This window comes from Homo sapiens, chromosome 2 (genome assembly GCF_000001405.40).
Source record: "Homo sapiens chromosome 2, GRCh38.p14 Primary Assembly".
NCBI classification, from domain to species: domain Eukaryota; kingdom Metazoa; phylum Chordata; class Mammalia; order Primates; family Hominidae; genus Homo; species Homo sapiens.
The window spans coordinates 115,509,080-115,526,079 of NC_000002.12; the positions used below are offsets into that span (position 1 = coordinate 115,509,080).

Below are 17,000 nucleotides of genomic sequence, written 5' to 3' on the forward strand. Positions count from 1 at the left end.
TCATGCGGGTCATGGTGCTAAATTTTCAAAAATGATCAGATTTGCTTTTGGAAACAAATATATTCCCGTTGAAGTGAGAAAGTAAGTTAAAATTGAAAGTTGTGGCTCAAGAAAGGACAAATAAAGACACTAGTGGATGGCCTAGGCTTGAGATTATAAGCAAATGGACTTAGGCAGTGCCAGCAGAGAAGAGAAAGATTTGGACGATAATAATAAGTAAAATAAAAAGAAAGTAACAAAATAAGAATGTAGTGGTTGGTGATGGCGGTTAGAATGATGTATCAGGGATAATTCTTGAGATTTTGGTTGTATGACTTAAATGAAAGGGGAGTTAACCATTGAGATGGGGAATTCTGGGTGAGAACCAGGTTTGAGCGTATGGTTGGATGAAAATATCTGTTAAACGGCATTTAGTAACTAAGTGGGGAAATCTATCAAACAGTATTTAGGGTGTCACATTTCTTGATTCAAATGTGAAAAATGAACCTTTAAGTTAAAAATAGTCTCCACTCCTAGGTGGAGGTTACAGTGAGCTGAGATTGCGCCACTGCACTCCAGCCTGGACGACAGAGCAAGACTCTGTCTCAAAAACAAAATAAAACAAAAGAACACAAAACAAAACAAAACAAAACAAAGGTAGTCTCCACTTCTTAAAAAGAAGGAGCAGAGTTGTGGATCATATGGTAATTCTGTATTAGCAGTTTGAGGAACTTCTAAGGTGGTTGCATGGATTTGCCTTCCTAGCAATGGTATAAGAGGGGCTTGATTAATTCACATCTCTACAAAACAGGTTCTTACCTATTTGATTTTAGCCATTTTAGTGGGTGTGAAGTAATATCTTGCCATGGCATTTATTTGTATTCCCTTAATTTATTGATGATATTGAGGATCTTTTCTTGTGCTTATTGATCATTTGTATATCTTTGTTGGAGAAATGTCTGTTCAAATTCTTTGCCCATTTTTTATTGAGCTCTTTTCAATTGCTGAATTGTAAGATTTTTTCATATATTATAAATCAAATTCCTTGTCAGATACATAAGTTTCAAATGTTTTCTCCCAGGTATGTTGTCTTTCACTTTCTGATTGGTGTCTTTTGATGCACCAGATTTAAATGTTGATAAAGTCAAATCTATTTTTTCTTTAGTTTTCTATACATTGTTAATTTAGACTAACTTCTTTTTGTGTGTTTGAGAACATAATAGATTTTTATTTCTATGTTTAGTTCTATGATACATTTTGAGTGGATTTTTTAATATGATGTGAGGAAAGAGGTCCACATTTATTCTTTTGCATGTGGAAATACAATTATCCATGTAACATTTTTGAAAAGATTTTTTTTTCTGTTGAATAATTTTGGCACCCTTCTCAAATGTCAGCTGACCACAAATATATGATTTTGTCTTGGGACTCTGTATTCTATTAATCTATATGTTTATCCTTAGGCCAGAAGTTCAGTCTTGACTGTTGTAGCTATGTGGTGAGACTTGTAATCAAGATGTGTGAGCCCTTGAACTTTGCTCTTTTTCAAAATTGGATTTCTGTGTCCCTTACATTTCCATATGAATTTTAAGATCAACTCGTAAAATTTGCAAACAAAGTCAAAAGAAGCTAAGACTTTTGATGGTGATTATATTGCTTATGTAGATCAATTTGAAAAATAGTGCTACACTAACAAGGTTCTGATCTGTAGACATACAATGTCTTTTAATTTATTTAGATATTATTCAGTTTCTTAAAAGAATGTGTTATATTTTTCCATCTAAAAATCATACTTTTATTGTTGAATTTGTTACTAGGTATTTTATTGCTTTTGTGGCCATTATAAATAGAATTGTTTACTCCATTTCATCTTTAAATTGTTTGCAGCTAGTGTATAGAAATGTAATGATTTTTGTGTGTTGAATGCTTATCCTGCCACATTGCTGTATTTGTTTAGTAGTCCAGGCTCTTTATACTCATAAGGGGTTATCAGTCTGTAGCTTTTTCCAACTATGTCTTTGTCTGGTTTTGATATCAAGATAATACTAGCCTAATAGAATAAGTAGCAAATTGTTTCTTCCTTTTATTTTTTGGAAAAGTTTATGAAGGATTTTTTTTAATGTTTCATGGAACTCACTGATGATACCATTATGGCCTAGGCTTCTTTTTCACAGGAAGTTTTAAATTTATTTCATCAATCCTTTTACATGTTATAAGCCTATTCCAAATATATATTACTTCTGAAATTTATGTCTTTCTAAGACTTCTTGTTTTGATCTAAATAACTGAATTTGTTGATAAGCAATTTTATAGTATTCTGTTACATGTTCATTTCTGTAAGGTTGATACTGATGCCTCTTCTTTCATGCCTGATTTTAGTAATTTGAATCTTGTTATTTTTTCTCATCCATCTATCTAGAGGCTTGCCAATTTTATTTTTCTTTTCAAGGAAGAAACTCTCAGCCTTATTCATTTTCTCCATTGTTTTTTTAGCCTAGATGTAACTTATTTCCACCTAAGCTTTTTTATTTCCTTCCTTCTGCTTGCTTGTGTTAGTTTCCTTGTTTTTTTCCTGACTTCTTTAGGTAGAAGTTTAAGCTATTAATTTGAGATATGTATTTTCTTCTTGCCCTTTTTTCTTCTTTCTTCTTCTTCTTCTTCTTCTTCTTCTTCTTTTTTTTTTTTTTGACACAGGGTCTCACTCTGTTACCTAGTCTGGAGTGTAGTGGTACAATCATATCTCACTGCAGCCTCAACCTCCCAGGCTCAAGTGATCCTCCCACCTCAGCCTCCTGAGTATCTGCACTACAGATGTGTGCCACCATTCCCAGCTAATTTTTTTAAAAAAAGTTTTGTCACACTGTGGTCTCACTATGTTTCCTAGGCTGATCTTGACCTTCTGGGCTCAAGTGATCCTCCTGTCTTGGTCTGCCAAAGTGTTGGGATTACAGGTGTGAGCCACCACACAAGACTTCCTCCCTCCCTTCCCCACTCCCTCCCCTCTTTCCTTCCTTCCTGTCTCCCTCCCTTTCTTTTCTTCTCTTCTATTTTTCTTTCTTTTTGACAAAGTCTCACTCTGTTGCCCAGGCTGGAGTGCAGTGTTGTGATCATGGCTCACTGTAGCCCCAATCTCCCAGGCTTAAGCAACCTTCCCACCTGAGCCTCCTGAGAAGCTGGGACTTCAGGCATGAGCCACCATGTCTAGCTAAATTTTTAATTTTTTGTTAGATTGTGTCATACTATTTTGCCCAGGCTGGTTGTGAACAACTTACCCCAAGCAATCCTCCCACCTAGGCCTCCCAAAGGGAGGATTACAGACATGAGCCACCGCACATGGCCTAAGATTACAGATATGAGCCACTGCACCTGGCCTCTGGCTTTTTCTTTCTTTCTTCCTTTCTTTTCTTTTCTTCTTTCTTTTTTTCCTCTTTACTTTCTCACTCTATTTCGTTCCTAATATAGATTTTTACAGCTAATAATTTCCCTGTAAGTTCTTCTTTACTATATATCATAAATTTTTGTATTTTGTGTTTTCATTTTCATTCTTCTCAAAGCATTTTATTATTTCTGTTGTTATTTATTTCTTGATTCATTGGTTATTTAGGTAACTGTTGTTTAGTATCTATATATTTGTGAATTTCCCAAATTGCCTTCCATTATTGATTTTTAATATAATTTCATTTGGGTCAAATAACATACTTTTTATAATTTCAATACTTTTCCATTCATTGAAACATGTTTTGTGGCCTAACATATGATCTCACCTAGAAAATATTTCATGCAAACCTCATAAGTATGTGTGTATTTTCTGCTAGCATTTCTGTCTGTAAGATCTTTTTGCTTTAGAATGTTGTTTGTCTTCTATTTTATTACTGATGTTCTGCCTACTGGTTCTATCCATTGCTGAAATCAAGGTTTTGAAGTCTCCAACTATTTATTATTAAATTGTTTATTTTCCCTTTCAATTCTATAAATTTTTGCTTCATATATTTGTGAGCTCTATTATTATGTGCATACATATTTATAATTGTTTTATTTTTCTGATAGAATGGCCCTTTTATTATTGCATAATTTTTATCTTTGTCTCTAGTAAGAATTTTTGCCTTAGAGTGTATTTCATTTGATGTTAGTGAAACCATTCTATCCTTGTTTTGTTTACCAGTTTCATGGTATACCTTTTTCACCTTTTTATTTTAAACTTATTAGTGTCTTCAATTTAGAATATATCCTTTGTATACAGCATATAATTATTTTAAAAAAATTTATCCTGTCAACCTACACATTTTGATTCATGTGTTTATTTTCATTTAATGCAATTATTAATAAGGTAGAACATATATTGGCCATTTATTTAATAATATTTGTTTTCTACATATCATATGTCATTTTTGTTTCTCCATTCTTGGATTTCTCACTCCTTTTTTGTTAGATATTTTCTGCTGTATCTTTTATATTTGCTATTGTTCCTTTTTACTATTTTTTGTGTTATTTATTTAGCCATTGCCTTGTAATTTACAACTAGCATCTTAATTTAGAAAAAATTTGTTCAGATAAAATACTAATTTAATTTCAATGGCATACAAACATTATTCCAACTTCATTTCATGTTTTTCACCCCTTTGTACTGTAATTTTCATACAAGTTATATCTTTATATGTTATAACCCAATCAACACGCTTTTATAATAATTGTTTTTATGCAGCTATGTTCTAAAACAAGTAGGATAAGAAAGGAGTTACAAGCAAATGTGTTTATGTTTTCTTTCATAATAACTGTGTGGATACTTTTACTAGGTCATTTTGTGTCTTCATGTGGTTTCAAGTGACTATTTATTGTCATTTCATTTCAGCCTGAAGGACTTCTTCCTTTAGTGTTTCCTTAGAGCGGGGCTAAAAGTAACAAATGCTCTCAGGTTTTGTTTATTTAGAAATGACAACTTCTCCTTCCTTTATGAGAGAAAGTTTAGCTCGATATAGAATTCTTTGTTGACAAGCTTTTTCTTTTAATACTTTGAAGACGTCAACCTAAATCTCTTCTGACCTCTGTGGTTTCTTATGAAAAGTCAGCTGTTATTATAATTGAGGGTTCCTTGTATGTGATGTTATGTTTTTAGTGCTGTTTTCATTAATTTCTCTTTGTCTAAGTTTTGTCAACTTGACTATGATCTATCTATGTGTGGATCTTTTTGAGCAGAATTTTTTTGAGTAGAAACTTGGAATTTTTTGAACTTCTTAAGTATATATATTATGTTTTATCAAATCGAGAAGGTTGGAGTCATTATTTTTTAAAACTTGTTTCTACATATTTCTCCTTTTCTTCTCTATAGTCTTTATGGTTTTCCTTCTTTTTAAATATTGGATATGTCTCACTCTATACATTATTTATATGTGTCTCTTAAAATAGTAACTTTAAATTATAATTTTAATAAAACATGGTCTAATAATCTAAATATTACTCTCAGGGTTTTCCAGTGACATTTTTTAAAACAAGATAATGAAAACATATATTGTAAAATATAAATATTTACACTATCTGATATGAAGTTCATTAGATACATGTGGCTACTTAATTTTTAATTAATTAAAATCATGTAAAATTTAAAATTCCATCTTTCAGTCACACTATCCACATTACAAGTTTTCAATAGCTAAATGAAACCAACAGCTACTACATTGTACATCGTAGAGATAAAACATTTTCATCATCACAGAAATTTCTGTTAGATAGAACTGTTGCAGATGTATATATCATAAAAAATTCCCCCTTCATAACTCAGTACCCATTTTTGAATGAAGCCATGTAAATATTTGTATCTGTCAAAAATCTTCTACAGAAATATGTTTGTATATATCTTCATGGATCTATACATAAACAATATAATATTCTATAATATATACATTTATATGTGTGTGTATGTGTATATGTAAGTGTATACGTCTACATTATATTTAATTTCAACAGTACATATGGTCTATACTTTTTATCCACTTAATGTATCTTGAAGAGCTTTTTATATGAACTTTTTTAAAACAAAAAAAATTGTGTAATAGCACCATAAAGTGTTCTTGTATGATGTATTACCACTGGTTTAAATATTTTTCTATTACATTACTGCTCCAAAACAAACATAAACAAACAGCAAAGCAGGCATATTTCAAATATATATGTAGGCTAAATATATTCCAGTGTATTGGTGAGTCAAAGAAAGTTTATATTGCAATTTATTAGATAATATCAAATTTCATTAATCAAACCCACCAATAGTGTATGATACTCTCTGTTAGTCCACTCTTCCTGTTGTTGGGTATTGTTCAACCTTTTAGTTATTTTCAATTTGGCTGATAAAAGATAGAATTTAATCCTTATGTTGATTTACAATGATTTAATTATGAGAGAGGTTGAGAATCATCTTTTTATATGTGCATTGGCCATTGTTGTTTTCTGGTGTTTGAATTCCTGTGCATAAGTCTTTCATATTGGGACTTTGCAAATGACACTCATGGCAGGAACATTTTAAAAAAATATTTGTACTTAGTCTTAATCTAACTGGAATTATTCATTCATTAATATCTGTAAAGTCCACTGAAAGGATGTTCTGTGTTTCACATATCTTAATAAACCTTTATCTGTTGAAACTGGCCTGAAAGAAGAAATGAATGAATGTAAAGGAAGAGAGAACAATGGGAACAGTTGTGAGTAAATGTCTATAATTAACTCATTCAGTTATAAACACCTGTTTAATAAAATTGGAGGAATCATCTACCCTATAAGAGTTGGAAATATTACCCTTAAATTTTCCTTCAGTTTTTAAAATGAAATAAAATGAATAATGAAAAAATAAACACACACACTGAACACCTTCTTCCAGCCTTAGGATTAATTCAGCCTCTATTTGGACATTGAAAAACATGCATAAAACTGATTTATCTTAGCATTCTACACACTTCACAAAAAAATTGAAGCTATTGGTGAACATTTCTGAGAAAGTGGACAATACAAGAAAAGGCTTTTGGATTTGGGCCATAAAAATGCAAGTTTAGTGCATGACAACTCAACTAGTGAATGTCTGCCTCAGCTCCTAAGCACAGTTGAGGAGATCAGCAGTGTTTGCAGATGTTCTTGGGAGACAGTAAAATAGAACCCGGTTCTTACTTCAGAGCTTGAGATTTTGCTCAAGACATTGAATCTGGAGGCAGCTCTTGATTGTTTCTTATTGTCATTGTCACTAAATTGGACTTGATTTTATAGGCCTTCTTTCTTTCCCCAACTAAGCAGAAAGTGCCACCAGGGATGTAAATCTAAAATTATTCTTTTCCTTTATTTTTGTTATTTGCTTTGGCATGGAAGGGTCATTTATGATATCTCTGCTTATCAAAAGGATACTGACAAATAAACAGGAAACAGCAAATCAATCTATTATTAGGAGTCCCGAACAGGAGGTATAATGTTACATCGGTTAATATATTCAAGAAATATTGATATTCTAAGCTGAAAACCTGAGCCTTGTTATTCTTTGTTTTTTTTTTTTTTTTCCAAGTGAATTGCACATTCAGAATCTTCTTAATGGTCAGATCCTTATATTTTTTGTTGCTTGCATCCTGTATCTGTTATAATTTCATGTTAAAATTAGAGGATGGAGATATTTTAGCATACCAATATGCTAAGTTGTAAATTATGAAGACATAATGAAAACTCTTAGTTAACTTAGAGAATGTTAATGTAATTAATATGTAAAAACTCTTCCAAATCAATTGAAAATGAACAAAAAATATAAATGGACTTTTTATCAAAAAATATTGTTGATAAATTTAAAAGCTGCTTAACATAATTCACAAACAGGAATATTTATCAACAAGAAGATAGTATTTTTCACATATCCTATTGGCAAAGATTAACCCTGATGTTACCATGTATTGGAAAGACTGTGGAATAATAGAGCCTCTTACTCCTTGATAGCAGGAATGTCATTTGTGTTTTTACTTTGGGTAAAATTTTGTCATTATTGTGTGAAGTATAACTTTCACATGCCCTGTAATCTAAAAATTCCTTCCTAGGTATATACCATAAGGAAGCAATTGCACGTGTATTTCAGGAAACAGGAACAGGGAGGTTTATTCAGTCATAGTTGCAAACAACCACTGGTCTCCTCAACTGTGCTTAGGAGCTATTAATGGATATTTCTGATAAAATGACCTGTAGAATGCATGGCTTTCAACCTTGGAGAATTAAAGTGCAAGTTTAGTAAATGAAAACCCAACTTTTAAATTAATTCACTATGTAAATTATTTATATCCTTGGGTTTCTGGTTAATGTCTAACTCAGTTTGCTTTGATACATATATATATGTTTGCCTATATGATGTATAATTTAATCTTAGTTGGTCTTGAACTTTTGAAAGAGGCATCAGGTAGTCCATGATCATCTTATACTTCCCTTTATCACTCAGCATTTTGTTACTGATTCATGCATATTTGCATTTAACCTGTAGTCCAGTTATTTTATAACTACAAGATATTCTATTTATGTCATTCTCTTGGTTATATGATATGCCATTCTTTACATATATTACCATATATTTATTGTTTATCTTACATTTAAATTTAATTGGGAATTAAATTTGTAATTGCTAAATCTATCACGATTGACAATACGTGAAGAGACAAAAGCTGCAATTAATCCAATTCAAGAGAGAAAATGATAAGGATAGAGTAGATATCTGTCTTATCTATTAATTCATATTTGTCTTATCTGCTAAATAGATATCTGTCTTATCTACTAGTTCATTTTGTATTGCTGTAAAGGAATATCTGAGGCTGGGTAATTTACGTAAAAGATGTTTATTTGGCTAGTGATTCTGTAGACTGTGCGAAAAGCATGGCCCTGGCATCTGCTTCTGGTGAGGGCTTCAAGTTGCTTTATTCATAGTGGAAGGTAAAGGGCAGCCTGCATGTGCAGAGATAACATGGTGAGAAAGGAAGCAAGAAAAAGAGAGAGGACGTGCCAGGCTCTTTTTAACAACCAGCTCTCATGAGAACTAATAGAGTAAGAACTCAGTATGATAAAAATGGCACCAAGCCATTCATGAGGAAGCCTGTCCCATGACCTAAACACCTATCATTAGAGCCCCACCTCCAACACTGGGGATCAAATTTCGATATGAGGTTTGAAGGAGTCAAACATCGAAACTGTAGCAATATCAAATATGGTATCACTGAGGAATATATATGAATATATCAAATCTGGCACAATTAAATATCTTTTTTATTTGTTAACCTATGTTTTCTCCTATTTTTTGGAATTATTAATTATAATGCTAAATTAATGATGTTATATAAACCTAAAATGAGCCTTTGAACCATCAGCTGTCAAGAAGATTTAGTCTTTGAAGCACTACTATTTTTCTGTTTCTATTTCATAAAAAGAAAATTCAGCCATGGTAAAAAAAGTTTTTTTACTTAATATTGGACATTATAGTTTCCCTTCTTTTTGTAAATATGGGAATTGCAAAGCTTTTGGTAACCATTATTTTTCTTACACTAGAAATAAAATCATATTACTAATTGAAATACTTAAAATATGCGTGTTTTAAAATAATAATTATATTATTTTTGTTTATGAAATTATACTCTGTAAAATGTGCCTGATGGGCTATCAGAACAAGAATGAAATTAAGTAACTTTCTACTGGGCAGCTCCGGTCTACTCATCTTGTAAGTATTATGTTACACACATTGTATAAGGCCATGGTGAGGAAAACTCATACCGAAATTCTAATGTCAAATTTTTTAGGACTTCCATAGCTTTTATATGCTGTATTCTTTAATGCAGCTGTGCTTGAAGGTCACAGCACCATTTAAAAATATATATATACTTGATATAGGATGATTATAAAGCACTAAGACAATTTGAAGAATCATTAGACCAGCACAAACTGAACTTCACATAAATAATTTGCATAAATATGGAAGTTACAATATTTCTTTTCTTCTTTCATCAGCCCATAACTTTTCCAATTTATTAAAGTGTTGGGTAGAGAAATATTGGCATGACTCTCAAATTCACCTTTTCTGCCCTATTTTTTTAAGTTATTAATAGATTTCAGTGATCATTAATTTCCACTTTCTGCGAAAAATAAAAATTGCTTTTTAAATGTTTTAGTGTATGGCCTATGATGTAAATGAATAGAATATTATTTTGGCTGTTTACATTTATTGAGCAATAAAAATATATGTGTGTCAGTCTATATGGATTAGTAGGTATTGATTCAATACTCATAAAAATTACGTAGTTGTATCATGGCATTTTCTGCATTGGGTTGTTTTATTAAATACTCCAATATCAAAATGCATGGTAACAAGAAAATATATATATAGAGAGAGCATCTATTATGTTTACAAAATATAGATATTGCAGATGTCAGGAAAGAGATATAATTTAAGCATGATCATAATTAATTAGTCAGCTAAGAAAAGAGAACATGAAAAAATACACAGTAAAAAAAATTGATTTTAAAATTTTCTGCATATATAGCCAGCTATAGCTACAGAGAACAATCAAGCCTTTGTTTACAGCTAAATTATAAAAGCTATTTGCTTCTTTTCTGTTCTTAAATCCAGACAGTGAAAGAGAGTGTGTCTTTTGCATCATTCTAGGGACTGCTGCCTCCTTTCCCAGCTTCTCTTGATTTCCCTTTTCTTCTTTTCAACTAGATCGTAATCTTTTTCCCTCTTCTCCTCCACTTATGGTCCACTGGCTTTCTAAAATCCTTCCTCATGCTCAAACCAGGGAATTTGGTCATTTATGGACTGCACTATGAAAGAAGCATTTTCATAATATATACTTAATTACATGTTTCAAAATTAACATCTTTCCAAAATGATAGATGGCTTTTCTAAATATTTTTGTCAGGTATCAAAAAACTAATAATGAGATTGAGTAGTGAGGGAAGTTATACCCTAAATAAATTAAACATAAAGGATGGCCGGGCGTCATGGCTCACGCCTGCAATCCCAGCACTTTGGGAGGCCAAGGCAGGTGGATCATGAGGTCAGGAGTTTGAGACCAGTCTGGCCAACATAGTGAAACCCCGTCTCTACTAAAAATACAAAAAATTAGCCGGGCGTGGTGGCGGGCACCTGTAGTCCCAGCTACTCGGGAGGCTGAGGCAGGAGAACTGCATGAACCTGGGAGGCACAGGTTGCAGTGAGCCAAGATAGCGCCATTGCACTCCAGCCCGGGTGACAGTGCGAGACTCCATCAAAAAACAAAACAAAACAAAACATAAAGGATATGTGTGTGAATATTTAGGGAGTTTGATGGGCTGGAGGTTGAGGGAGCAGGGAAAATATCATAGGATCCAAGAAGACTTACATTTTTGTCTCCATCATTCACTATCTGTTAAAAATGTACCCATCTATACTTTCAGAATTATTCAGCCAAAGCTCCTGGAGCATGATTTTTTTTTTTAATTTTGTAAATAGAGATGTCTTTAGATATTTTTATTACCAGCTTATTCCAAGGTCTAGAACAATACACATCCCTACTACACAGTTCCTAAGGTTCTGCCGTTTCTCAATGTTAAGGCAACCAAGTCCTTTATACCAACTTGTATTAATTGTAACTGCATCTCTCATTCTGCCTTCACTCAGTCTTTTCTCAGTCTCAAGTCATGCAAATGAATATTTTATGTTTTCTGACACTTCTGACATTTAAGTTTGTGTTTAATGATTTCTTGCTATGATCTTTAATATCTGACATCTTGGAATACCATCATTATCTCATTTTCTACCTCTAGTTATAATGTTTCTGACAAAAGTGAATCATTGTAATGGGGCCTCTTAATAGGGACATTACCGTGGCAATAAAAGATGTAAATTGCAGTTCCAAACAACCTAGAAGTGCAATCACGAAACAGTGATCAATGGTTAGATGAACTGCACGTGTAATTAAATACATGTGAGGTCAGATGAATCACTTGAGCTAAGAAGGACAGGGAAGGCTTAAAGGAGAAGAATTAGAATGATCCTTCAGAGAAACACAATTTGAGTAAGGAAAAGGGAAAGGTGAAGGTGGTATAGCAAGTAGAGAAAGTTGAACAAAGGTACAAGAAAAAGAAAACATGCACATTTAAAGAATACAAGCAATGGTACACCATGTTCATAACTGCATGATTACTGGCCCACCCGGTAGAGCATGTCATTTGGGGAACTTGTTCCTTTTCTTTAGAGGGCATGGATTTACGTGGAACATAAACTTTCATCTATTACTCTGTATAAATGATAAAAGATGAGGCTTTCTGGCATCTCTCTTAAACTCCAGGCTTTTTATCCACAAATCCTGCACATTTCCTATTGGCTATCCTTCAGGAGCGATAACAATAATGTATATAAAATTCGAATGTCTAAAACTTTCCTCAAAATATGCCTGTTTTTCTTTATTTTCTCCAGTGAGAATGTTACAAAAGCAACATTCACCCAATGATAAAAACTTGAAAACCTGGAGTTATTCTGTATACTTTCTTCTTTCTCCATCTTCAAATCTAATCCTTATTTTTTTTTTTTTGTATTTTATTCACAATCTCCCCTGTACATGTCCCTTTCACTCTTTGCCTCTGCTTCTTCCTTAACTTTGTAACATTGCTTTCTTGGATTGTCATGAGCCTCTTACCATCTCTCATGAACTCGAGATGTCATCAAATCTAACTAGTTTTTCACCCAGTTGCCAAGGTAATAGTTCTAAATTCAAACCTGATTTTGCTTCTTTCTTGGCTTTCAGTTTTACCACTTATGAAAACAGTAATAAGCACTGGCATATTCATGTTGACAATAATGCATACTTCATACATAATAGCAGTAATCTATGGAATCATCCCTCATCTTCCCAAGAATTGTTTTTAAGCTACTTGTGCATTTTTTGAAGTTTATTCTCATATTGTAGGTTGTAATTCAAAACTGGCAAGCTTGTAGGCTCCAGACAGAATCTGGCCCCCAAGTATATTTAGGATTGAATCATAATTTTAAAATTATGAAATTATAAGTTAAATTTTGCTTTCTAACTTTTTTGAAAAAAATGGAAAACTAGCAATACTGTGTATTTTTCTATAGGACATTGTATCTGGAGCTGAGGAGCTACTGTGCTCTTTTAAATAGGCGGTCTGATTACTCCGCCTCTCTGTGATTCTTACACAGACAGCTTCAGTCTTACCCTGCTTACCCAGTGGTTTCAAGCAACCATGTTTTGGACCCTTGCTCTACCAGTGACTAACGAGGTTCATGACATGCATCTTATCCTGAACAATATGGAAAGGGAAACATCCTAGTGGGTTTGGTTTCCCAACTTTGTAGCACCTTCAGTGTCTGCCTGGGGGCTTGTTGTACAGTGAATGTTCAACACATAAGATTCGCTTGAATGGAATGATACGTACAAAACAGGCACCACCAAATGTTCCCAAGCTGCCGGAAAACATACATTTGTTTCTCTACTTGATCACATACCTTGTCTTTCTTGCTTAATTCATCTAGTTAATCACCTGCATATTTGCTTTACTCTGTTTATCATATCTTGCTTGCCTTCAACAGAATGTACATAGATGGCAGGATTCATGCATTTTTATGCCCTTTGTACTATTTTGGATGTCGAAAACTGGACAGGCAGGCATCATTGCTGAGTAATGGCAATGAACACATGTGGAAATTACTTTTGCATCCTTTCATTTCAATAGTAATTAAGTTGTTAAATATGAAGGTACTGTAATAGCATTATTGGCAATAATCAACTTCCCCAAACCACAATTTGAAGTCATATTAAGTTGAAATTAAACCAGAACTATTTAATGTCTACAATTAGAATCAGTGTTGACCAAGATGTCTCCTGTGGCTGAAAGAAAGAATACCCCAAATGCAATAAATAATAACATTAAAGGCATACACTAAGAGGGATTGACCTAAGATTTCCAACATCTTCTGGCGTGTTGACTAAGCTGCCGAGATACGTTTCTTATTCGTGTATCATCAGTAAGTTTCTCTGCAGCATCAGTGACCTGCCCACGACTCTTTAATTTCAGAGAAGATTCAGCAGCTTGGGCCCCGGAAAAGATATTTGGAAAATTTCCCAGTTTGTGTGCTGCATAAGCTTGAGGCAGTAGAGGGATAATTAATAAAGTGCCAGACTGGGTAATTGTAGGAACTGTAAAAGATACTAAGACGTTGTTACCGGAGGCACAGACGCACCTGTGAAAGCGTGAAGTTAATTTGTGTGAGGAACATCACATGAGGGTGGATGAGGATGAGGGAGGTGAGATTTCCTTCAAATTAATTCAGACTTTAGTCAGAGAAGCTCTCAAAAAAAAAAAAAAAAAAAAAAAAAACCCTCCTGCTAGTGAGATAATGTAAGGCTTATGAAAAGAGGCCCTCCTGGATTGTCTTGTTACGTATGCTTCTCTCTGACCTTGAGAAAGGTGTAACAACTGCAACGTTGGAATTTTCTAATCCCTGTAGGACAAGAATGATGACATTGCCCTATCAGTCTTTACATAACAGCGTACCATTTCATACTGTCCCCTTGAACATTTCCTTAAAAACAATACACCTCCTGATACTATAATGTTGGATACTTTGTGTATCCAGTGTCACCCCAAATTCCCCATAGGTTAATTTCTATCAAATTTCAATATACAATAAAGTAATGAGAGAGAGAATTAGGTCGTATCATAGTATTGCCCTGAAGACTGTTTAAAATCATTGATAACTGCAAAGTTCCTAACAACTTGCAGACCACATGGTAGATGACTGATCAGTGGTAGCTGCTAATGTTGTTATTTTCATGGTTATTTAAATGGATCTTTTAAAAACTAAAAAACAAAATTCTTGACATGAATTGTTGCCAGTGAATGTTGTTATCTTCTTCTAAAATGCCTTATATGTAGATTGTACAAGATAGGTGTAAACCCCCATACCTTAGCATTGCCATATGGTGATGTCTCGCTGACCATTCCATTCTCTTGCATATCTGGCTCAGGAATTAATAACCTATGTCATTCCAAAAATGATTCTCTGATACCAATTGAGTGCTCTACAATTCAATTCAATACGGAGACTAATTACCAGGAATTAGCGTACACCCACAGTTAAGGAGCTCAATTCCCCTGGTCTGTCCTCACCTCAGATGCCAGCTGCCAGTCCCTGGTCCCAATGGTACTGAATTATGTCCAACCTGGCTACAAATGTGAGGGTTCTCATTACCCCTTTTCAGGCTGGAGAATTTCTTAGAATGACTCAAAGAGCTCGGACAAGAGCTATTCTTATGAGTAGCAGTTTATTGTAGAGGGTACAAATGAACAGCTAGATGAAGAGATATATGGGGTGATGTCTGAAGGGGTCCCCAGCACAGGAGGCTCTTTCTCTTTGGACTGGGGTACATCACCCTCCCAATGCATCCATATGTTTACCAACCAGATGGTTCCCTCAACCCTTATCATTCAGAGTTTCTAAGCAAGGTTTCATCACTTAGGCATGATTTATTCAATCACTGGCCAGTTGCTGAACTCTGATCTCCAGCTCTTCTCTCCTACCAGATCTTAGAGTGGGGCTGAAATTTCTAAACTTGTAATCGCATGATTGATGTGATCTGATGACCAGCTTAATCCTGAAACTATAAGCTAACGCCTCCCCTCACAAAGAGTCCTCTGATGTTGCAGTCGCATTAGCATGAAATCGAATAAAGTGCAAAGAAGTTTGCTATGAATAACAAAAGACATTTCTATCATTTAGGAAATTTCAAGGGTTTTTGGAGCTCTGTGCCAAGAACCAGAGAAAAGACCAAATATATATTTTATTATACCACCCAAACTTGCCAAATATTGATTAGTCTGAATTTCTTATCCTATCCATTGTGTTTTGGGGTCCCTATGTAAAACAAACAAACAAACAAACAAAAACAAAACAAAGAAACTCTGACTTTACACTTTTCTGGACTTTATAGAGAGCAGTCTTATGGAAACTATAAGGTGTGCACAATTGTTTATGCACGTATTTCTCTGCAAATACCATGCAAAGTATCTATTATGCTTAAAATTTTATACTATTTATTTTGTGTTTTTTTGTTTCTATTTTGGAGTTTTTTCACACATCAACTCAATGTGCTTGCCCTCTCTTTAGACGTGAATTAGACAAATATCTCTATTTCAAGTGAAATCTTTTTTCTACCTTGAATGTATTTGTTTCATTGTGTAGTTTAAATTCCTTCTGTCCTCAAATTTGTTCAATTATTAGATTATAGGCTCAAAATTAGTCAAGTACAGTGTAGTAGTTTTTGTTTGACATCAAATGCAATGTTCTGTATTTGTGTTTTAATCTGTTTCACCCTGGGGATTTCCTTTAAAGAGAGTCTGTCTTTAATGTTAGTATCTTTTTAAATATAAACATTCAACCAGTAAGAATACAAAAACACAGAGACAGAAAATTATGACAAACAGAATGTCAATACTTCTTTTCCTTTTGATTAATCTAGCATGCAAATTATAAAAGCATTTTGGTTACTCAGGAATTTCAATAGGCCTTTGAACTTTTTAAATAATAAAAATATTAACATATTCTTTAAGAGATAACATATAGAAAGATATATTAGCAAACCTGTTCTTACTGAAATGTCTAATATGTCCTCTTTAAGCTTTTTATATTCATCTGAATAATCATACATACATACATGCAAATATGTATACAATATAAAAGAAATGAGAATGCCATTTTATAGTGCTATGAAAATTGATTTTTTTTTACATTTATACATCCAAATTCATGTTAAGAAGTTTTTAAATATAACTGGTTTTTTTTTCTTTTTCTAGGTAACCTTCAAAGCATCAAGACATTCAGTTTCACCAGATTTAAAATATGTCCTTCTGGCATATGATGTCAAACAGGTAAAGGAGTGATCTTCTTTGAGAATACTTTTCTTTGTGATGCATTGGGGTGACAATGCATAATTTTACTCAGCTATAACTCACCTAAGCAAAATCTGGCATGTCTA

The 17,000-nt window shown here is 33.3% G+C and overlaps 1 protein-coding gene across 24 annotated transcripts in view; it reads left to right on the forward strand.

Moving 5' to 3' along the window:
- Positions 1 to 17,000, forward strand: part of DPP10 (dipeptidyl peptidase like 10) — a 1,403,140-nt gene that overhangs the window by 1,066,439 nt on the left and 319,701 nt on the right. For all 24 annotated transcript variants that reach the window (NM_001321910.3, NM_001399849.1, NM_020868.6 and 21 more), the window contains 1 exon segment: positions 16,819 to 16,893. In NM_001321910.3, the coding sequence (NP_001308839.2) occupies positions 16,819 to 16,893 (75 nt within the window).